This window comes from Homo sapiens, chromosome 13 (assembly GCF_000001405.40).
Source record: "Homo sapiens chromosome 13, GRCh38.p14 Primary Assembly".
NCBI lineage: Eukaryota > Metazoa > Chordata > Mammalia > Primates > Hominidae > Homo > Homo sapiens.
The window spans coordinates 20,379,450-20,403,454 of NC_000013.11; the positions used below are offsets into that span (position 1 = coordinate 20,379,450).

Sequence of the window (24,005 nt, forward strand, 5' to 3'; positions counted from 1 at the left end):
AATGAATGTCAGTATCAAACTTTATGCAATCAACAAATCCTGATTACCTGTAGACCATCGGCTCATACCTGAAAAGCATGGGGTGTGAGCCCCCCAAAGCCCTGTTCTCAGGCCCACAGGCCCACTCGTCCAGCCCAAGAGTGAAGTCGTCAGGGCCCATTTATCCTAAGTGCAAAGATCCCCTCACACAAATTGGACCCCTGGATTCATCTGGAATCGATGGATACCCCAGATCTGTGCTGGGACTACGTAGCTGCTGTCGCTGGTGCCCGGTTGGGGTGTTTCAGAGTTGAAGGACACTCCTCCCACCCCAGAGATATTTCTGTGTGAGTTCCTGCTGTAGGACCTGCCTGCTTGGAAGGGAGTCTGGCAGAGTTTAGTCTCAGAATTTGTTTCATGACTTTGCCTCTCCAATGGCTTCAGGCCACCAGTGGCTTGAAAGTGAAGGTATAAGGTACCGTTCTTCTACACTGAGCAAGTTACCCAGTCTTGCAGAGCCTCAGCTTCCCCCTCCAAAACTGGGAATGATATGACTTACTCTGACAGGATGGGACAATTAGAGAAAAATGTATACAAAACATTCCACAGGTGCCCAGCAATAAATAGGTAATCAGTCCAGTCCACTCACTGGACATTTTAAAATAAAATGTTTTTATACACAAGTAATGCAGGAGTTGCATAATGATCATAATGATTGCTACAATCCATGCCAGTCACTGTGCTGAACGCCTGGAATCCACGCTTTCATCTGCTCTCACGCCATCCAAGACACATGTCCTATCAATGGCCCCGCTTTACACATGAGGAAATGAGATGTAGAGGGGGTAATCATTTGTGAGTCGGCAGTCACGCAATGTAGTACATGGCAAAGAAGATACTGTAGTGGATTAAGTAGTAGCCCCCCAGAATGGGATGTCTTTGTCTTAAGCCCCCAAACCTGTGCATGTGACCTTATTTGGAAAAATGATCTCCACAGATATAATTAAAGATCTCAAAATGAGATCCTCCTGGGTTACCTGGTGGGCCCTGAGTCCAATGACAGGTGTCCTTATAAGAGTGAGGCATAGTAAGATCAGAGAGACGGGACACAGCCCCTGAGGTTAAGGCCACCTGAAGACACAGGCAGGGACTAGAGTGCTGCTGCCACAAGCCAAGGAACGGCTGGGGCCACCAGAACCTGGAAGAGGCAGGAGGGTTCTCCTTGGAGGGAGTGTGGCCCTGCTGACACCTTCATTTTGGACTCTGGCCTCCAAAAGTGTGAGAGAATACATTTCTATTGTTTTAAGTCACCCAGTTTTGCAGAATTTGTTATGGCAGCCCTAAGGAATGAATACAGATACCAAAGTGGAGTTTGCCCCTACCACTCTCTCTGGCCCACCCCTCGTCTAACCCATTTAATGCTCATTTAACGTGCTGTTTCCTGAAACACAAAGTTATTGGGAACCAGAGCATTCATTTTCCCATCCTTCATGGCCACGACACATCCAGTGTTATTTATGCGTTTCTCCCTGGATGACCTAAATCTGGAGAGTAGCTGCCCTACCAAGCTCAGTGCCCACCAAACTTTCATTTGGTCGAGCGCCAGTTCCATGTAACTATATAATACCTAGGACTGCGTAAACCACAGAACCTACCAGGAACACTTTCTCTGCCATAAAAGGCAAACAGTATCATCCGTGGAGATAATTTTCTCTGAGGCTTTGCCCACAAAGTCACTGTTCATCCCTACAGTCATGGTGCCTCAGTCCCCAAGAAAGCCGTGATCCTGAAAACTCATGAAGTACAGTGCTTGCCCGTTTTGAGCTACAATCGAACTCATCTTTCCGACTATTATCCTCCTGAAGTCGACAGCGTTTCCTTTTAAGTTAATCAATGTGTTGATGGGAATGGAAGTGTAGGGCCTGAATAAAACAAGGGCACAGGCAATTCTCAGGATAGGAACATGAAGTCCAAAAATCCTTATCCTTATGGTGATTTTAAAATATTCTGCAACATAGACAAATCAACAAGAAGTAATCTTCGAACTAGCAACATTGGAACAAATTCTTGTGCAACCTCATTCAGTCTTTCCCTTTCTCACTCTTTTACTTACCAAGACTTGATTTTAGGAATCTGAGCAAGAATGCTGCATCTACTGTAAAGAGATGCTGAATTCCTGAGAGCAATTCCTGAGAATTAGGCTGTGATGTTATCTGTTTGCAGCGAAGAATCCACTCACAGTAGCATAGGCCTTGGCTGATAGAAAGGAAAAGCCAATTTATGAGTTGTTCAGTTGTAAATGAAAGGCTATTTGGGACTATTGAACACCGTTTGTGATGTTCTCAGCTCTTTGCTGTTTCCCTTCCCCTAGGATGCCTGGTTATTTGTAATGGAAACACACTTATATTTATTGTAAAAGTGAGGGAAATTCAGAAAATCGTAGAGGGAAAAAATAGTCTTTGAAGCCTAACAGATCGGTGTTCTGATCTCCTTTGCAAAACTGATAATGAAATTACCTCCTTTCAGGGTTATGATGTATATAAAGAGCCCCGTCATCAGGTGGGTCAGAAACATAGCAGATGCTCAATAAAATGGTAATTATTATTACTGAGGGGCAAGGAAATCAGAGGTTAGATCCAGCTTCACCATATGCTAGCTCTGTGATCCATATCTTCGTTCCACCTGTAAAGTGGGAATAGTAATTGTGAAGACAAATTAGATCTTAGATAACACCATAAAGCACTACACATCATAGGGTATTCTGATCTTTTAAGTTTCTTCTGGACTGGGCACGGTGGCTCACATCTGTAATCCCAGCACTTTGGGAGGCCAAGGTGGGCGGATCACCTGAGGTCAGGAGTTTGAGACCAGCCTGGCCAACATGGCAAAACCCTGTCTCTACTGAAAGTACAAAAATTAGCCAGATGTGGTGGCGGGCGCCTGTAATCCCAGCTACTCAGGAGGCTGAGGCAGGAGAATCGCTTGAACCCAGGAGGCGGAGGTTGCAGCAAACCAAAATCATGCCACCGCACTCCAGCCTGGGCAACAAGAGCAAAACTCCATCTCGGGAAAAAAAAGAAAAAGTTTCTCCTGATTCCAGTAGTCTATAACTTATAATCTAATAATGGGGTGATCTTGGTTGTATTATGGTATAGAACAAGAAAAGAAGGTTTATCAACAAATAGAGTTCAGTTGCCATAGCAACTTAGATACTATTTTCAAAGTAATAACTTTAACGTTGAGATACATGTCTTCTATAGCATCTCGGTAGGTTTTCAATTGTAGATATACAGGAAAGGCAAGCAGTATTTTAGGATCAGAGCTATGCTGTGGTGGAACTAACACTCTGAAGCTAGAAAACCTAGTATGTATAGCTTTTGGTAATATGGTTTAAAGACCCTATTTGTATATTTTGAAAACTGCAAATTTTCTTATAGAAATGTCAAACATAATAAAAATATTGTGGTTTTCAAATTGAAAACACCTCATTGCAAGCAAGCAAGTTTTTTCATTGTGTATTGGGAAGGAGGAAAAGTGGTTCTATTGATCTAACTAGATAGGTAGGTAGATAGATAGATACATGGATAGACAGGTATAGAGACAGGCATATATAGAGAGATCTGTATCTACCTATATATCTATACATAGAGAAATCTTTAATTGTTGGTAAAACTGAATTAAATGTCACCCCATCTGCCTAAAGGATGTAAGTAGCTTCCCGATGTGCACAGCAAGGGGTAGTTTATTCAGCTGCAGAGAATATCTGAGTGCAGTAAGCATTTTTTAAAGGACTGTTATTATTGTTCTCTTAAGCACAATAATAACAGCAGCCCTATTACTTGGAAGGATGCCTAGTTCAGGTGGTTTGTCAGAAACAGTTTTCTCAAGTCCTCATATTATACAAGCACTGCTGGCTTAGCTTTCAAAAGTTAACTCATAACAAGTTGTAAGCTTTTCTTATGAACGGTATATTTTCTTACTTTGTTAAGACCATTTTCTTAGCATAATACATGGATACTAGTTTCCAGAGGGAAAAGAGCACGCAGAAAGAGGGGAAGGGAGGGTTCATGAGGATGTGTAAGGGGTGGACGGCACAGCAGAAGGGTGGGTCCTGATGGCCAAAAGCCCCGGACAGAGAGGGCGTCAGAGGGACGGGAGGTGAGGTCATGTTGAAATAGTGATGGGTAGTAAAGCTAGAGGCTGAATGAGGGGTGCATGCAGCTTGTTACATTATTATTTCTACCTTTGTGTATATTTGAAATTTTCCATAGTAAAAAGTGTTTTAAATGCCATAGACATACTCTTAATACTTTTTGTGTAAGATACAAGCCACAAAGTTCATAAAACATAAATGCATATTTAGGATAATAAAAAACTAAAAGGCAAACACATCTGTGAAATTACCACCCAAGTCAAGTCATAGAATGCTGATAGCTCTAGAAACACTCTCCTCATTTTTTATTTTAAAATATGTTTGCAGAAGATTTTTTTTTTTTTTGAGACGGAGTCTCACTCTGTCATCCAGGCTGGAGTGCAGTGGTGCAAACTCGGCTCACTGCAAGCTCCGCCTCCCGGGTTCACGCCATTCTCCTGCCTCAGCCTCCAGAGTAGCTGGGACTACAGGCGCCTGCCACCACGCCTGACTAATTTTTTTTGTATTTTTAGTAGAGACGGGGTTTCACCATGTTAGCCAGGATGGTCTCGATCTCCTGACCTCGTGATCCACCCGCCTCGGCCTCCCAAAGTGCTGGGATTACAGGCGTGAGCCACTGCGCCCGGCCAGTTGTTTTTATAATTCTGAACTTAACTCCTATCTTTTCCCACTGTGGGGCTTGTCTTTTCACACTCTTTATGATATCTTTGGCTGAACAGAATTTCATAACCAAGCTTATAAATCTTTTCCTTTACTGTTCATGTTTTTGGTATATTGGCTAAGAGGAACCTGTCCTCAAGCTCATGAAGGTAAGAATATTCCACATTTCCTTCTAAATGCTTCATGGTTTTGCTTTCACACGAAGGTCTATAGCCAGTTTTGTGTATGGTAGGATGACGGAGTCTAATTTTATGTTTTTCTGTATAGATACCCATTCTCTCATTCCTTCATGCCATCCTGACTATAAATTAAGTGTGCATCTGCTTAAATTTGCTTCTGGGCCCCTTGTTCTATTCCAGTGATCTTCACACCAAAACTACACCATCTTACTAAAATTTTGTAATACATATATCTGGTAGAGCAAAAACTGACTAATTTTTTAAAGAGAATTGCCTGTCTTTTCTTTCTTTCTTTTTAAAAATTTTTTTGAGGGGTGGGGTCTCACTCTGTCACCCAGGTTGGAGTGCAGCGATGCGATCTCGGCTCACCACAGCCTTAACCTCTGGGGCTTAAGCGGTTCTCCTACCTCAGCCTCCCTAGTAGCTGGGACTATAGGTGTGTACCACCACGCATGGCTAAGTTTTGCTTTTCTTGACCTTTGAATCTCTAAATAAAAGTAGAAGCAACTTAGCAAGTTACACATACACACACACGTTGTATGACACTGAATCTATAAGAATAATTTGGGGATAATTGACATTACAATACTGAGCTTTCTAATACATGAACATGGTATATATCTCCATATTAAAGTCTTCTTAATATCTGTCAATAATGGTATATAATTTTAATAATATAATAAAAAATAATATAATAAAAAAGGCAATATATTAGCTTGCCTTTTCCTAGAAATTTCACGTCGTTTGATGCTATGACAACTAATACCTATTCTGCTTCATTTTCCATTTGTGGCTCTTTATGTAAATACAAGTTGATTTTTGTGTATTGATTTCATATCCAGCAAACCTGGTAAACATTCATATTCATTCTAAAATGTATCTGTAAATTGTTTAGATTTCCTATGCACATAATCATACCATATTGAATAAGGACAACTTTGCTCCTTATTTTGCAATTCTTATATCTTTTATTTCCTCCTCTTGACTAACTGTTCTTGGTAGGATCTGCAGAAAAATGTGGAATAGATGTAGTTGCCTTATTTCTTTGTAAATCTCAAGGCGAATGCTTCTGACACATCACCCTGTAGTGTGATATTTACTCCAGGTTTTTGTTGATCTCTTTATGGAAGTTCCTGCCTACTCCTGGTTTAGCAGGGGAATTTTATGAAAGACTTTTCCTGCAACTATTGAGATAATCTTTTTTCTGCTTTATGTGCTAATGTAGTAAAAGATATATATCGATTTTCTAATGTTAAGCCAACCTTGCATCTGTAGTATAAAGTGAACTTGGTGTTGATGCAGTACTCTGTTCATGCATTATGGGGCTTGGTTTGTTAGTATTTTTGTACTGAAATCGGCAGAAAATCTTATTTTCTTATACAGTCCTTATCAGGTTTTGGTATCAAGGTTATCTAGCCTTATAAAGTTTATCCAGAATGGTTTATATAAGACTGAAATTAGTCCTTTCATGAATGTTGATATAATTCTCCAGAGAACCCATCTGGGCCTAATGTTTGCCTTTTGGGAAGGCTTTTGATGATTCATCCAGTTTTTAAAAAATGGTTGTAGAACCATTCGTGTTTTTTTATTTTGTCTTTTAGAGTGAATTTTGATAAATTATATTTTCTAGGAAACTATCCCTCTTTTTCCAAATTTTCTATTTAGTTGATATATATAAGTTGTTTATAATATGGTCTTGTCTTTCAAGTGACTATGGAATCCTAGTGGGTAGTGTATGTGTGTATGTGCACACACACCTGCATGTGTGTGATGCTAGCAGCCTTTTCTCATTTTCTAGATTTATTTGTGCATTAGGAGTTTTTTGCAAAAAGTGGGTAAAATGTGTAATTCCATCATTCTTAATTTATTAGCTTGAATACATAGAGAAAACTATGGCCTCCTAAACTGTTTGGTTACCCTGAGGCATGTTGCATATAAGAAAAGCAGGTTAAATATTTGAGTCCTTTTCTTTGTTTGCAATTTTTCTGAGTAATGAATTAGCCTATAACAGCTCCAAAGGTTACCAATGAGGTTTTAAAATGCATCAGCATCATTATAAACTCATGGATTTTTTACACATTAGTTGTGCTTTAATAAATTGCAGGGTTTTTTCCTTCTTAAAAATTTCAACTTTTATTTTAGATATAGGGTGCACATGTGCAGGTTTGTTACACGGGTATAGTGAGTGATATGGTTTGGCTGTGTCCCCACCCAAATCTCATCTTGTAGCTCCCACAATTCCCATGTGTCGTGAGAGCGACCTGGTGGGAGGTAATTGAATCATGGGGGAGGGTCTTTCCCATGCTGTTCTCATGATAATGAATAAGTCTCATGAGATCTGATGGTTTTAAAAATGGGAGTTTCCCTGCACAAACTCTCTCTTTGCCCACTGCCATCCATGTAAGATGTGACCTGCTCCTCCTTTCCTTCTGCCGTGGTTATGAGGCCTCCCCAGGCAGGTGGAACTGTAAGTCCATTAAACCTCTTTCTTTTGTAAATTGCCCAGTCTCAGGCACGACTTTATCAGCAGCATGAAAACAGACTAATTCAGTGAATGATGCTGAGGTTTGGGGTAGAGATGCCATCACCCAGGTAGCAAGTATAGTACCAAACAGGTAGTTTTTCAACCCATGCTCCCCATTCTCCTCCCCTCCACTCCCCACTCTAGTCTGTGTATGCTCAATGTTTAGCTCCCACTTAGAAGTGAGAACATGCAGTATTTGATTTTCTGTTCTGCAGTTATTATTCTTACTGACGCCAACACCATTCGCTCTTTGGGCATTAGCACCCCCGCCCCGGGTTGGCTTTGAGCTGACCTGACTTGCCCCGCTGCTCTGGGGAGCTTCTTTGCTTAACAGTATCCTCTTTCTGAGTTTTTCAGATGGTGGCCCAGTACTTTCTCACAATCTTGTTTTATCTCCTCTCTGCCTTTAAGATTTTTATAGATTCATTTTTGTTTGTTTGGCCTTGGTAGAAGTTAAGATACCTGATCATAGGTTTATTTAACAAGTATTTGCTGAGAACCTGCTTAGTGCTAGATGCTACAGGAAACAAGATGATGAATCAAGAATGACTGATGCCCTTAAAGAATTTGCAGTCAGCTAGGGGAGTCGGAAACAAGAGCACCGTGGCTGCTGGGCAGGATGGAGACGTGATGCATGTAAGTTCAAGCAGAGTTTCAAGGAAATTGGCAGGGACGGGGCAGGCTTCAACAGGGAAGTGGCGCCGGGAAGCTTGAGCAGGATTTGGGCATTCTGACATGGGGAAGGCATTACCTTCTTCCCCTTTAGTTGTGTCTGGCACATGGACTCAGCAGAGGCTGTTGGGAATGTTCTGAGATCACATACCAGCAGCCTCCTAACCCAAGCCGACCCAAAAGAGACATGCCCCCAAGAAAGGATTCCGGACTGCACCTGGTGGCCTGTATTTCTAGTATTTCACAATATTCACAAGTCTTCTAGCCTCTACACAAAAATACCAAGTGCAGAAGAGGAAACATTTTCTGACCACAACCACTCCTCTGTGGAGCCTCTTAGATTAATCCTCACAAGAGGCCTAAGACAAATTTTCATCTAATATATACTTTTCTACAGCCAGCTCCTGGAATAAAAGAGAGAAAGTAGAAGTGAAGTTATTCTGGGAATTATTCGGGTGAAAACAAAACCAAAACAAAACAGAAAAAGTAGCATGGTTTATCTGAGGACACAAAATTAGAAGGCAATTTTTCCAAAAAGGTAAGAAGATCATTTCAGATCTTCACATGGGGGGAAAAAAGAATGTCAGCCCAGAGCACAGGACTGGGCAGGAACCCCAGTGCCCTGTGGGCCAGGCTGGCTGGGAGCCCCCACGCTGGGCCCAGGAAAGGCCAGGCTGGCTTTAGTGTGGCCCAGGTCCCAGAGCCTTCCCCTGGTTTGGTTAGGGAGCTATGGGGCCAAAAGGAGCCAGACTTTTAGGGAGGAAATTGAATTCTCAGTCAGTATGCTGGGTGGGGCGGTGATCTAACACACTTGGGCCTAGAGATCTAAAAAATGCAGAAACACCAAGGCTAAGGGAAAGTGAACAGAAGGAGCCCTACTGCAGCCAAATACAAACCACCTTCCCCAGAGGAGGCTAACCTCTTCACCAAGGAAAAAAAGCAAAGGCCACCAGCTGAACTTGAAGGGCACCTGGGACCCACTGCCCTTCCTCTCTGCTTCTTCCCTCCTTTGTCTCTCCCTTCCCTTTCCTCCCCTCCCCAAGTCTGCTACTTTCCCTGAACCCTGGACTGATGTCCTGGACAGATGTCCTGGACAGGAGGGACTTTCAAGCAGAGTGCCAGGCATCCTTGTTGTGTCCGGAATTGGTTCCTTCCAGTAGGTTTGTGGTCTCGCTGACTTCAAGAATGAAGCCGTGGACCTTCGCGGTGTTACAGCTCTTAAAGGTGGCATGGACTCAAAAAGTGAGCAGCAGCAAGATTTATTGTGAGCAAAAGAACAAAGCTTCCACAGCATGGAAGGGGACCCCAGCAAGTTGCCGCTGCTGGCTGGAGTGGCCAGCTTTTAGTCCCTTATTTGTCCCTGCCCATGTCTTGCTGGTTGGTCCATTTTACAGAGTGCTGATTGGTCCATTTTACAAACCTCTAGCTAACTACAGAGTGCTGATTGGTGCGTTTTTACAGAGCACTGATTGGTGCATTTTACAAACCTCTAGCTAGCTACAGAGCACCCATTGGTGCGTTTTTACAGAGCACTGATGGGTGCATTTTTTTTTTTTTTTGAGACAGCCTTGCTGTGTCACCCAGGCTGGAGTGCAGTGGTGTCATCTCTGCTCACTGCAAGCTCCGCCTCCCAGGTTCACGCCATTCTCCTGCCTCAGCCTCCCGAGTAGCTGGGACTACAGGCGCCCGTCACCAAGCCCGGCTAATTTTTTGTATTTTTAGTGAGACAGGGTTTCACCATGTTAGCCAGGATGGTCTCGATCTCCTGACCTCGTGATCCACCCGCCTCAGCCTCCCAAAGTGTTGGGATTACAGGCATGAGCCACCATGCCTGGCCTGATCGGTGCATTTTACAAACCACTTGTAAGACAGAAAAGTTCTCCAAGTCCCCACATTACCCAGGAAGTCCAGCTGGCTTCGCCTCTCATTGTGACATGGGAATCAATCCTGTCCAGAGCCACCTTAAACATAAGGCAATATATTCAGTTCTCCATTTGCTGTGAAGAGCAGTGTGTCATTTTCGAACTTGGTTAAATTTAGCCCTAGAAAACCTCCTGGGGTCCGCAGCCCAGAGCCTAATCTCAACCCAGCAGGTGAGCATGAGTTGTAGGGACGCTGGGGTCACTTGTTGAGTCATTGCTTCATTCAAGAATCTGAGGCAAATCAGCGCTGCCCAATAGAACTTTCTGCCGTGATAGAAACATTTTATATCTGATCTATCCCATAGGTTCCTGCTGTCCACATGTGGCTGTCTTAATGTTATTTAATATTAACATATGCAAGGAGACAGCACTTGAACAGAACAGAGGAGGCTCTCACCCTTGTGGAGCTGATTTTCCAGAGAAGAGTCAGAAAAATTCCACGTGAACAAACATCAAAGAGTTTCATAAGCACCAAGAAGAAAATAAACAGGCTATCTTGCTGGAGAATTTCAGTGAGCCCCCTGGAGTGGGGGGCTCCTGGAGGCCCTTCCAGAGAGAGAACATTCCAGCAGAGACCTAAAGATAAGAGGGGCCAGCTACTTGAGAATGTTCCAGGCCGAGAGAATCCCCAGAACACAGCCAGAGTGGCTGGAGAAGGGAATTGGCAGGGGGATCTGCAGGGTCTCGCCGGCCAGGGGAAGTCTGGGTTGCACTTTAAGACCAAGGGCTGCCCCTCCCTCCGCAGGGAGGTTTTAAGCAAAGGGTGGGACCTGACACACATGGTTATAGGTCACTCAGGTTGCCCTTGCAAAAGAGATGAGAAGGGGCGAGGGGAAGAAGGTTCTTGTTTGGGTCTGGGTCCCCTCAGCCCACCCAGGCTTTCTAGCAGGAAGTTTGTTGGAGATGTTGGCATGGAGCAGGGTGAAGAGCCAGACTGTGACCAGTGCTGAGCCCACGGAGCCTTCCGAGGAGCCTCGCCAGGCGTCCCAGACTCGTCCTCGGAGAACAAAAAGGGGAGCCTGTGCCACGTACCCCGGCCCTCCTTTGGTCATGGGCGGCCCTGCGGGCCTGGGCGTGGGCTTGTGCTGAGTGGGGGGTAGGGTGTTGGGGGGCCACCTTCCGCTGTGGTCAGGACAGGAAGCGGCTGGAAGAGCCTCAGGCAGAGGCGCTGGCGGGCCGCGCTGCCCCAAGCAGGCTGCCAAGAGGGCCCCGTGCCCCTTGCCACAGTCCAGACTGGCGCTCCAGGCACGGCCCACGCGAGAAGGGACTCCCGAGGCCCAGTTGTGGTCCTGGTGGGAGCAGGGAAAGGAGGTCAGCCAGAGCTGGGTCCCAGATGGAGCAGAGTCCAGGCCTGCATGATCCTGTGGAACTAGTCAGGGAAACTGAGATAGAGCCTCAGGCCAGGCAGCCCTGGAAAGGGTTACGGGGAAGCCAAAGCTGAGTGGAGCCAGCAGGGCGCAGGAGTCACCAGGCTTGCAGTCACGAGGCTCCTCCCTGCTAAGGCTGGCTCAGGAAAGCCGGGAAGGGAAGCAAGGGGTTGGGGGAAGAAGGGAGGCAGGGGGTGCAAGGAGGAAGGGAGGCGAGGGGGATGGGGAGGAAGGGAGGCGAGGGGGATGGGGAGGAAGGGAGGCGAGGGGGATGGGGAGGAAGGGAGGCGAGGGGGATGGGGAGGAAGGGAGGCGAGGGGTAGGGGGAAAGGGAGGCGGGGGGTTGGGGGGGAAGGAAGGACAGGGGTTGGGGGAAACGGGAGGCAAGGTGGAGGGGAGAGAGTAGAGGGGTGGGGGGAATGGAGGCGAGGGGTCTGGGTGGGGAAGGAAGGCGAGGGGTTGGGGGGGAAGGGAGGCAAGGAAGAGGGGGAGAGGCGAGGGTTGGAGGGCAAGGGAGGCGAGGGGTCGGGGTTGGGGAAAGGAGGCGATGGGTAGGGGGAAGGAAGGCGAGGGGTTGGGGGGAAAGGGAGGCAAGGAGGAGGGGAGAGCGGCGAGGGGTGGAGGGGAAGGGAGGCGAGGGGTCGGGGTGGGGAAAGGAGGCGAGGGGTGGGCAGGGAAGGGAGGTGAGGTGGAGCGGAAGGCAGGAAGAGGACTCTCGCAGTCAGCCGGAGGGGTTGGGCGCACTGCACCGGGAGGCACCACCTTGCGGAACAGGTCGGGTCGGTGCTGGGGCCAGGCCTGGAATGTTCCTGCGTCCTCCTGGTCCTCCTTCTCTGGACTCCAGAGACTTGCCCTCTCTCGCAACGCTGCCCCGCATCACCCCTGCCTGGCTGGCTTCACCTCTCAGGAGGCACCGACGATGCGCACGCCCCCTTGTGCAGCCCAAAGGCCTCTCAAGTCCCGCTGGGCCATCTCCTCGCCAGCCCGAGGCCTCCTTGGCTGAACGAGGGTCTCGTTCAGCCGCGTCCCCCTCTGTCCTGCCTCCTGCGCCCCCTCTCACCGCAGGGAGCTCAGCCCCGCAGGGTCCCGGGACAAGGTGCTGACCGGTGCATGGGCTGCTCCCCCGCGCCTGGAGGCTGCCCAGTCCTAGAGCTGCCCCGGGGCCTCAAGCTCTCCGCGTCCACCCGGACCGAGCCGACCCCACGGAAAGCTGGCCTCGGAGGGTCGCAGGCATTCGCCGAGCGGCCCGCGCAAAGGCAGGGGCAGTCCAAGCACCGGCGGGACACGCGGCGCCCGCCACAGCCAGCAGTGCCCCGCACCGCGCAGCCCCAGCGACCCGCAGAGGGGCCAGGGCCCACCAGCCCCACCCCGGACCCCAGAGCGCCCAGGCCCGCGCAGCGCCACCACCCCTGACCACAGGGCGCCCACTCCGCCGCCCCGGACGCCAGCCCGCAGCGCCCGCCCGCACACCACACACCACACACACATATCACACACAGACCACACACACACACCCAATACACACCACACACCTCACACACACACCCATCACATACACACACACCAATACACACCTCACATACACACCACACACACACCCAACACACACCACACACCTCACACACACCCGTCAAACACCACACACCTCTCACACACACCCAACACACATCACACATACCTCACACACACACCCAACACACACATCACACACATACACCCCACACACCTCACACACTGCACACATCACATGCACTACACACCCCTAAAAAACACACATATTACACATTCAGACACGTCCCACACACACGTCACATACACCCAACACACACCTCACACACACCCATCACACACCTCACACATCTCAAACACATTACACACAATGGCACACCTCACACACTCATCACACACCTCACACACACTCCCATCACACACCTCAAACATCATCAACGCTATCACACACAACACAAACCTCACACACCCAACACACACAAACATCACACACCCAACACACACCACACACCCCAAACACACATATCACACACGTCACACACATCACACACACAAAACACACCACACACACCCAGAAAACCCACATATTACACACACCACACACATCTCACACACCGCACACCAAACACACACCCACACAACACACGTATCACACACACCTCACCACACACCACGCACACAACACACACCACACACAACACATATCATACACCAGCCACACCACACACACACAGAAAACACACATCACACACACCTCACATGCATCACACACACCTCACATGCATCACACACCACACACGTCACACACACCCAACGCACACCACACACAGCCAACACACACCACACACATCACACATACCTCACACACGCACAGACACCACACCCCAAAGTACATATGACACACAAGTCACACACCTCACAGCCACACACAGAACACACACCACCACACCCAAAAACATATTACACACCACGCACACATTACCAAACATCTCACACAAGACACACATCACTCACAAAAAAATTCATATCACACACAACACACACGCCACATACCTCATACACACCACATACCTTGCACATATCACACCACACATGACACACATATCGCACGCCTCACACGCACACTACACACACACCCAATATGCACCACACACTTCACACACACACCCTTCACATACCCCCACACACCTCACACACATATCACACACACAACACACCTCACCACACACAAAACACACACCCAGAAAACACACCTCACACACCACACACACAAAACATCACACACATCACACCACACACACAACACATCACACACATCTCACACATACATCACACGCATATCACACTCTACACACACCACACACACACTTCTCACACAAGCAAAAACATGGAAGCCACACACACAAAACATCACACACCACACACAACACATACCTCACACACACATCACATGTATATCACACACACCTCACGCACAAAACACAAACCACACCACCACACAAACCCAGAAAATACACCTCACACACCACACAAACACAAATCACACACACCACACACAAAACACACATATCACACACCTCACACACACCACATGTGTGTCACACACTCTACACACACCTCACACACACATTTCATACACAAGCAAACACACACAAAAAGGCACACACAAAAAACATATCGCACACCACACACAAAACACATACCTCGCACACACCAAACACACACAGTGAACACACAATACACACACAAAAAAGACATCACACATATACATACACACAAATATCACACACACCTACACAAAAACGTATCACACACCACATACAAAACATACACACATCATACACCACTCACACACACCACACACAAAACAGACACATTGCACATACACAAACACATCACTCACTAAACACATACACCACACACCACACAAAAACACACATCACACACAACCAAAACACACACCACACGAAACACACATATCACACACCACACTCACATTGAATCGCTTCAATGCTCCCCTCGGAGGATGCGGCAGGGACAAGATCGCGTTGGGCTGAGCAGGGTTCCCCTTCCCGTTCTTTGAGGGGTTCTGTGGACTGAGCCGCAACAAATTCATATGTTGAAGCCCTAACGCCCCGAGTGACTGCATTTGGAGGTCGGGATTTTAGGAAGTAACGAGGTCTTAGGGTGGGGTCCTCATTCGAAAGGATTGGTGGCCTGAGCGCGCGCGGACACACACACCGACAGGCCCTGTGAGGACGCGGCGAGGAAGAGGCCGCCTGCAAGCCGAGAGCAGCCCGGCCGGCCCCTGACGCTGGCTCGCAGCCCCATGGCGTGAGAAGCAGTTCTCTGCGGGCTGAGCCTCCCGGGCGTGGCACTGCACGGTGGGGCAGCAGCCCCAGCAGGCGAAAGACCCCGTCAGAATTCCTCTTCCTGTTCCATTCCCTTTGTCCGGAGTTGGGCCCTCTATGGCAGCGACGCTGTGCAGAGACCTCGTGGCACCCTTCCTGGGAAGAGCACTCTCCAGCATCGTTTACTTAGCTGAGAGGGACTCAAAGGCCATAGGGAGGTGTCTGCGGTGCGTGAGCACCTGCGCCTCCGCGGGCATTCCCGCCTCATGCCGTTCTCACTGTGGTTCATCCACTGTCCACGGCGGCTGTTCACACGGCCAGACACTGAAGTAACGACGCTCTCCATCATCTCATTCAAACCCCGCCAGGAGGTGCTAGGATCAGAGGAAATGAGGCCCAGAGCTAGGCTATGTGCCCAGGACCACCTGCTAGCATGTGCTGCCCCAGAACCCAAGCGAAGGCAGTCTGGCCCAGAGCCTCAGCTGGTCATCTCTGCCTCCTGGTTGCTTCTCAAAGAGCCAGCCGACTCACGGGGGAGTTGTGTGATACTCATTTTCAATCCATGCCATTGTGTATATACTACCGTGCCGTGTGTAGATACACACTCTGGTGTCATCGTGTGCACACCATCATGCCATGTGTGCATGCTGCGTGTCCTCTTGGCCACACCGCATTTCCCACTCTCCTGAAGGGGACAGATCTCGTCTGCTTGGTAGAATGACGGGCGCTCCTCCCCCTGCTCTCTCAGAGGTGTCCTTGCATCAGAGTTTGTGACAAGGCCTGAGCCGTGCACTTGGAGCTGAGGTTGCAGGATGTGCCTTAGCCGAGGGTCAGACTCTCCAACCACTGCTAGCCCCTACGTGTCCCTGGGGCAGCCCTTGGCAATCCACCTTTCACAGGCCGGAAGCCCTTTTTTGTCATAAGCTCAAGACAGCAGTTTAACCTTCACCCACTCCAAATGCTGAATCATTGGTGGCACGCAGGTCTGGTCTGACTTGCAACTTGGATGACGAAGGTGTCATGAGGCATTTCACTCTCCTTCCCTCACGTCCCACATCAGAACCATCAATAAGTTCTGTTGCGTCCACCTTCACTCCTGGACCCTCTGTGCTCCCTTCTGTCCACACCAGCCACAGCCTGGATCTCTCCGACCCCCTCCCTGTGCCCAGACTGCCTCCCTCGGTCCTTTCCGCGATCAGGACCCACCTGCCGTCTACCTTTGCACATCCTTGAGCTAAGAATAGGCTTACATTTAAAGGATTGGGGGAAAAATAAAAAGAACAACACGTGGTGATATGTGGAAATTGTATGAACTTCAGGTTTCATTGTCCACACACAAGTTTTATTGGAACAGACACTGCCACGCTGATTCACACACGTTACCCATGGCTGCTTTTGGACTACAAGGCAGTGTTGAGTTGTTGCAACACACACTCCATGACACAGGATGGCCCACAAGCCTAACGTGCTCCACTATCTGGACCTTTATGGGAAAAATTTGCTGACCTCTGACTCCACACAGCAGCCAGTCATCTTTTCAAAATGCAAGTCAATTAAATCATGCCACTCCAGGGGCTTCCTTCTGCATTTAAATTCTGACCTAACCTTACAAAGTCCCAGAAGATCTAGCCCAGGTCCCTCTCCAGCCTTCTCTCTGTCCATCCCCCCCCAATGCCCATGCTGCCTTCTGGCTTTTCCTGCACCGGGTGAGGCTCCTACTTCGGGTCCTGGGCTCGAAACACACTGTCTTCCAGGATCACTCCTTTCCAGAACCACACAGGGCTAGATCCTCCTTGTCATTCACATCTCAGAGGTTTTCCCAGCCACCCACCATGGAGTAGACATTCAGCTGCATACTGTCTCATCATCAGCTGCATTCTCTGATGGACACTTACCTCTGATCAGTATTGTTTCACACAGTATCCCCTGGACTTTGGACAGTAGATCAGTAACTGTTGAAGAGTAGGCAGTGGTGATGGTGACAGTGGTGATGGTGGTGGTGATGGTAATGGTGGTGGTAGTGGTGGTGTTGATGGTGGTAGTAGTACTACCATCATGGTAGTAGTGATGATGGTATTGGTGGTGGTAGTGGTGATGTTGGTGGTGATAGTGATGGTAAAGTTGGTGTTGGTGGTTGTAGTGATGATGGTATTGGTGGTAGTAGGGGTGTTGATGGTGGTGATGGTGATGATAATGGTGGTGTTGGTGGTGGTAGTGATGGTGGTTGTGGTGGTGGTGGTAGTGATGACAGTATTGGTGGTGGTGGGAATGGTGATGGTGGTGGTGATAGTGATGGTAATGGTGGTGGTGGTGGTAGATGGCAATGAGATGGTGATTGCAATTTTGAGTTAGTGGACATGCAGAAAGATCTTGGGAGGGACTGCACAACTCTGTACAGAGACAGCATCTGCTTTGCGTCAAGATGCTTGGGCTCTCAATGGTGTACAACCTGCCTGGCTCTACTGGGCCACTGGACAACTTACAACTTACAAATGCTGGGGCCTGTCAAACACATGAAACCAGTCGACAGAGGGCCCAGAGGTCATCTCCATGCACATGGCCACACGGACGTCCCCACAGCAGATAGAGAGAGCTCAATGTAAAAGCATCAAGGTGTTTGATATAAAAATAACATATGCTTATGGTGATAGTGACAGAATAAAGAAAACCATAAAGAAGAAAATCAGAATTGCCCCAAAATAAGCAGGTTTCACATTTCCGTGTGCTTTCTTCCAGGTGTTTTCCACATAAATATTCATATGTAAGCTAATGGCTGACTCTCCTTATGTGACAGGCCAATGCCCTCTTTCTTCTAAACTGACCTATTTTCAAGGTGCCGAGAGATTAGTACACAATCTCCTCCTTCAGTAAGAAGCTCCAGGCTGGGCGTAGTGGCTGGTGCCTGTAATCCCAACACTTTGGGAGGCCAAGGCGGGCGGATTACGAGGTCAGGAGATTGAGACCATCCTGGCTAACACGGTGAAACCCCGTCTCTACTAAAAATACCAAAAAAAATTAGCCGGGCATGGTGGTGGGTGCCTGTAGTCCCAGCTACTCGAGAGGCTGAGGCAGGAGAATGGCGTGAACCCGGGAGGCAGAGATTGCAGTGAGTCGAGATCGTGCCATTGCACTCCAGCCTGGATGACAGAGACTCCGTTCAAAAAAAAAAAGCTCCAGTGTCAGCAGCCTTTACCACTTGAGGAAAACACCTTTCACACTCATGATCTACACTCAGGTGTGGGCTTGAAGCCCCCTCCATTCTGCCCCATCCTCCAAGGTGCTACAAGTGGGCAGTTTCCCCACGCCCATCAGCCTGGCAAAGGGATACCACCCTCCGCTCACTGGGAGCTCCACCTGTGTCTATGGCCTTGCGCTTAGATCCTGCTGGGCACCTGCTATGAACAGCTCTGGGGCTCAGGACCAGGGATGCAAAGAGGACAAACGCAGAGTCCTTGGACTCAAGTCCCTTTATCAGGCTTTCAGACTGCCACTCTGTGCCTGAGACACTTGTGTGAAGATGGCTTAGTCTTCTCTAGATGCCTTTGCTATGTGTAGAAGCTTCACCAATGATGATATTTTGTGCCATATTTACATACAGGATATTTGGTAACCTGTTTGTAGACATTTCTAGCTTTTGCCTACATAAACGAGAGAGTAATACAAGCAAAATGGTATGGAGAAAGATCTGAAGAGACAATGCCATGTTGACAGATACCCAAGGGCCTGTAATCCTCCTCTCAGTTGCCTGGTGGACTGTGCTAACGTCTCTGATGTCAGCCAGGCTAGGAGGAAGCCAACAGAACTAGAAAATGTTTGACGGCTGTATGGCTTGGGGGTTTAATCAGTGCTTCAGTTGCCCTTTGCACTTAGATGTGAGGTTGGTCTCAGGGTGACGCCCATAATGAAGGTAAACCATGACGACATGAAATGAAATGAGCACAGGATGAAGGTGAGCCAGCTGCACAAGCCCTGCGGGGTGGGACATCTTCCAGACACACACAAAGAGCGTCGCCTTTAAGGGGCCAGGGCTGGAGGTTCAGGCCACCCCGATCACAATGCGCTTTTCTGCCGTCTGCAGCTCCTCCCTCCTATGCCCTTTCATTCTTTCTTTCAACAATTATTTCTTTTTTCTTTTTCTTTTTCTTTTTTTGAGACAGAGTTTCATTCTTGTCACCCAGGCTGGAGTGCAACAGCGCGATCTCAGCTAACTCTGCCTCCCAGGTTCAAACAATTCTCCTGCCTCAGCCTCCCAAGTAGCTGGGATTACAGGCGCCCGCAACAATGCCCGGCTAATTTTTTTTGTACTTTTAGTAGAGATGGGATTTCACCATGTTGGCCAGGCTGGTCTCGAACTCCTGGCCTCAGGTGATCCACCCGCCTTGGCCACCCAAAGTGCTGGGATTATAAGCGTGAGCCACCATGCCTGACCTCAACAATTATTTCTTTAGCACCTTCTATGGACCTGATGCTATTCTAGGTTGTAGGAATTCACCTCTATTAGGCTTTTCCTCTCTCTTTTTGGATTGACAACTGAGACATCACCTACTTTAGGAAACACCCCCTGACAGCCCTTGTCACCCACCAGGCTCAGCCCAGGGCCATTCCCGGGTGCTCCTAGGACACCCTGTGCATGGCTCTGTGGTTGCACTTGCAGCTTTAAATTATGCTTTTCTCTTCATGTATGCATCTTCCCCACCAGACTGTGAACTTGTCATGGTCAAGGTCGACACAATTCCGTAGCCTCAGACGCCTACATAGTCCTTGCTCTAAACACATATATTGAATAAGGGAACTGTGGCAAAATCAGCAGTATTCACCTCTTTGAAGACAAAATGGTGACAACAGAGTGTGGAGGGAGCCTAGGCACTGGTCTTATGTTCCTCCCCGTCACCATGCAGGGCCAAGCTTCTTCCCACAGAACCACACGCTCCCTCCCCTAGGCTGTCATGGCTCAGCAGTGCCCACCACGCCCCTGCTCAACCACCAGGCTACCAAGCAACTTCCTGGTCATGGTTGGGTCCTACTCTCCTGCCTACCCATCTTCTTCATCCCAGGAAACGGCAATTCTCCCTCCATCCACAGAAGAGTTGTCCTTGACGTTTACCTTTCTCTCATCCCCAACATGCTGTCTGCCCATCCTGTTGGCTTTACCTCCAAGACAGCTCCAGAATCTGGCTGCTGCTCCCCTCCTCCTTGCCACACCCTCCTCCAGACCTCTGCTGCCATCCCTGACCAAGACAGTGGCAAGAAAGCCTGGACTCCCTGCTTCCACCCCAGCCTCCGGACAGTCCTTTTTCCACCCAAGCCAGAAAGGGCTTTGAGAAACTGAGTGAGATGGCGCTGCTCCTCTGGCCTCCCACCTCACAGAGTATGAGCCAATCCTCCTGTCAGCCTTCGGGGCCCACCATCCCCATCTTGGTCTGTCCCCCGCCACCTCCTTCATTGCTGCCTCCTGCCACTCAGCCATATGGACCATCCAACTGCCCCTTGGATGCACCCCTTCAGCCTGGCCTCAGGGCCTCTGCCCTTCTGTTTTCTCTCCCTGCAGCACTCTTCCCTACAGCTCCCCATGGTCTCATTGCTCACTCCTGTGGGTCTCTGCACAAATGTTATCTTATTATCATCCTCCTTGATTACTTCTTTAGAATTGTACACACATGTGCAGACACACCCCACCTGTACACCCTGTCACTCTCTCCTGCTCCATTTTCTATCCACTTAATGAACACCCTTCTGATATATTCTATACTTTGCCTCTTGATAGGCATATGTTTTGTTTTCCCCCACCAGAACTACCATATAAGCTCCATGAGGGAAAGTATTTTTTTGGCCTGTTTCATTCATTGCTGTATCCTCAATGCTTTGAATAGAGCCTGGCACACAGTAGATGCTCAATAAATGTATGTTAGATGAATCCATGGAAAGTTAATAAAACTGGCATTCTGGTTTTTCTGGCAGTCTTGCTAGTTGGATGAGCATGAGAAAAATCCCCTTCCAATTTATGCCCTAGCAAGATAGTTTCCAGGCCTGCAAACCAAGTAGGAACCAGACATAAATTGTGGGGACCCCACTGCCAGCCTCTCGAGCTGAGCAGGCACAACAGAGCAGTCATGTGGATGCCACGCACATGAGTCCATGCTGCCGTTCAGGGAGAGAAGACATCTGGACTCCAAGACTAGCAGGAAGGGAACTGTGTGTGCACTATGCCACATTGAGCGTTAATGTGGATGGAGATTATAGTTTCGCAGTTCTGAGAAAATGACTCAGAAACCAGTCAGGACAATATCTCACTCGGCTGGTCCTTCTGATTAACTTCCTATTTTTTAGTAGTAGCTCAGAGTGGATGAACCCAGCAAGTTCATGCGAGGAAGGCCAACATCCTAGTCATGTCACACTGGTATTGTGCACCCTCCATATGACATGACAAGGAGAGCGTGTCACCCCTGGGGTCTTCTTTCCAAGATCTAATTCAAGTCTAATCACAGCAAAAACATCAGATAAACCCAGACTGGGGCTCTTCTACAGGACACCTGGCTGGGGCTCTTTCAGAATGTCAAGGTCCTAAAAAGCAAGGTAAGGCTGAGAAATGGGCACAGACCAGAGGAGACTGGGTGATGGAACAATGACATGCAATGTGAGCTCCTGGATGGGATCCTGGAAAGAGGATATTTATGGGAAAACTGGCACATGAAATTATACAGCCACTAAACTCATAAAGCAACCAAGCGCTTTGGTAGCCAGACCCCAGGGACGGCAAACTGAAAAGCAGAAAGGCCCCCATAAGCCACAGCTGATTGCTTTGAAGCCCTCCCACTTATCTCTGAAGGGCCTGTTGCTTGGGTTTTGTGTGAGGTTAGGCTCACATACCCCACTCTCCCTTCAGCTCTGTGTTGGGCCAATTCCTGACTCTATCCAGCTGTTCCCATAACTGTCTTCCTGAAGCTGGGCCCAGAACCACCGATGAGCTCGCTGCTGTTCTCAAGCCTGAAGAGCCTGACTTTCTCAGCCCTTACGTGAGACCCTCTGGGCACTCCCACAGCCGATCACTCCTCATTGCACACTGTGCCTGCTTCAAGCAAAATCATGAAGCACTTCTGTCTGCTTCCTTCTGCCAAAACATGCCTGATATCCGCACAAAATACCTGACAGCAAAAGTGGGAAAATAGAACTTATATGAAGCGATGTACCTCCAAGCCATGCACAGTTCCGCCCTGCATGCTGGCGCCAGTGCTGCCCAGGGCTGCTGTGGCCGCTCCTCTTGGAATGCGTGGCTCAGGGATACCATGAGCCCAGCAGGCCATGAGTGGGGCCACCTGCACCCCACGACCCCCTCGTTTCAGCGACCCCACATCTGGGCCTGGGAACTGCAGATGGCCTTGGCGGGCTCATCAGGGGAGTCCTGCAGGCACAGGGGACAGCGCAGTGACAGGGCCAAGACCTGGGAGTGTGCAGAAGGAAAGCAGCCAAAGCTGGAGGCTTCAGGGAGGAGCGCAGACCTGACGGAAAGGAACTCTGTCAGTAGGTCACAGGGTGTGAGGGCTGAGGGATTTAGTCACCAGTTAAGGAATTTCTGAAACTTAATCAGATGAAGGGAAGGATCCTTTTCCTGCTGAAGCCTCCTTCATGTCTGGCCACATCGCCTTTTCAGTGAAGCTTGCATATCGGGGCACTCACATTTCCTGCCTCTCCCCTAATCTCTTTATCTCGTGGGTGACATCAGCTCCAGCCTCCTCGCCTCTCTCGGGTCCTGCGGGGACTGTGGGTTCCACCTGGGATGGTTTCTGCGTTCACTGCCCAACTCACTCTCACGTGGACCCCAACACTCTCTGCCTCCAGGTTGGCCCCTTCTGCTGTGGGATGAGCTTTCTGAGAGCCTGACCTGATTGGGGCAACTCCTTGCCTGAGGAACGCTTGGCTCTAGGTGAAGGCCCAGCCATTGGCACAGCCCCTGGATTCTTCCCTACCTGGCTCCACTCAGGGTCCCCTCCAGGGCTCCTTTTTGGTCAGGGTGGGCAGCTCCTCATTTCCAGAGCACTCCAGCCCTTCCCTATGCTCTCCTTCTCCCAGAAGGGCTGGCTGACTCCACCTGTTACCCCAGCCCCCTCAGGTTGGCCACCTCCTCAAGACCTTCCAGGGCACATGGGGCAGGCAGCTGGCCAGGCTCTCCTGTGTTGGATTCCTCTGGAGCACCAGTCCTGTTTTATTCTCAATTTATGTTCTTTTATGGTGACCTTCTGAAGGGCAGGGGCCACCTGTGGGACGCCTGGCACATCACAGCCACTCAGTGCATGCTGTGAGAATAAATGAGTGTGATGCAGAAGTCTGTGAGCACAGGTTAGCCACGATGACCACTTCCACACGGCTCCTGACCGGGGCACTGCATCCAACACCTCCACAGCCCTGGCCCCAAGGAAAGGCAGCTCCCTGCTGGACGAAGCTGGGCACCAGAAGCTGCAAGGCTGGGAAGTGTCAGGGGAGCCCACTGGTGGCATCTGGCCACTGTGGTGTGCATGGCCTTGTGGGTGGTGGGGCATGTAATGGTACTCCCAGAGTGTTTTGGGACTAGATCTAGGAAAAGACCACATCAAAGACAATAATTGAGTGTTGGATCAAACAGGTACTTTAGTGTAGAACTTTGGTGCCTTTAATTTGCTACAGACATGGGGTGTCTAAGGGCTGGGCAGTCAGT

The 24,005-nt window shown here is 48.9% G+C and overlaps 3 annotated features.

The window, feature by feature from the left end:
• Nucleotides 388-1,587: an enhancer, noted in NCBI's record as "BRD4-independent group 4 enhancer chr13:20953976-20955175 (GRCh37/hg19 assembly coordinates)". NCBI's record gives its function as "activates an origin of replication core promoter dependent on BRD2, P300/CBP, MED14 and CDK7 cofactors, and independent of BRD4, by STARR-seq in HCT116 cells {active_cell/tissue: HCT116}" and the evidence as "EXISTENCE:reporter gene assay evidence [ECO:0000049][PMID:35650434]".
• Nucleotides 12,130-12,638: an enhancer, noted in NCBI's record as "H3K27ac-H3K4me1 hESC enhancer chr13:20965718-20966226 (GRCh37/hg19 assembly coordinates)". NCBI's record gives its function as "activates a minimal SCP1, AML or CMV promoter by ChIP-STARR-seq in primed H9 embryonic stem cells {active_cell/tissue: H9 hESC(primed)}" and the evidence as "EXISTENCE:reporter gene assay evidence [ECO:0000049][PMID:30033119]".
• Nucleotides 12,639-13,146: an enhancer, noted in NCBI's record as "H3K27ac-H3K4me1 hESC enhancer chr13:20966227-20966734 (GRCh37/hg19 assembly coordinates)". NCBI's record gives its function as "activates a minimal SCP1, AML or CMV promoter by ChIP-STARR-seq in primed H9 embryonic stem cells {active_cell/tissue: H9 hESC(primed)}" and the evidence as "EXISTENCE:reporter gene assay evidence [ECO:0000049][PMID:30033119]".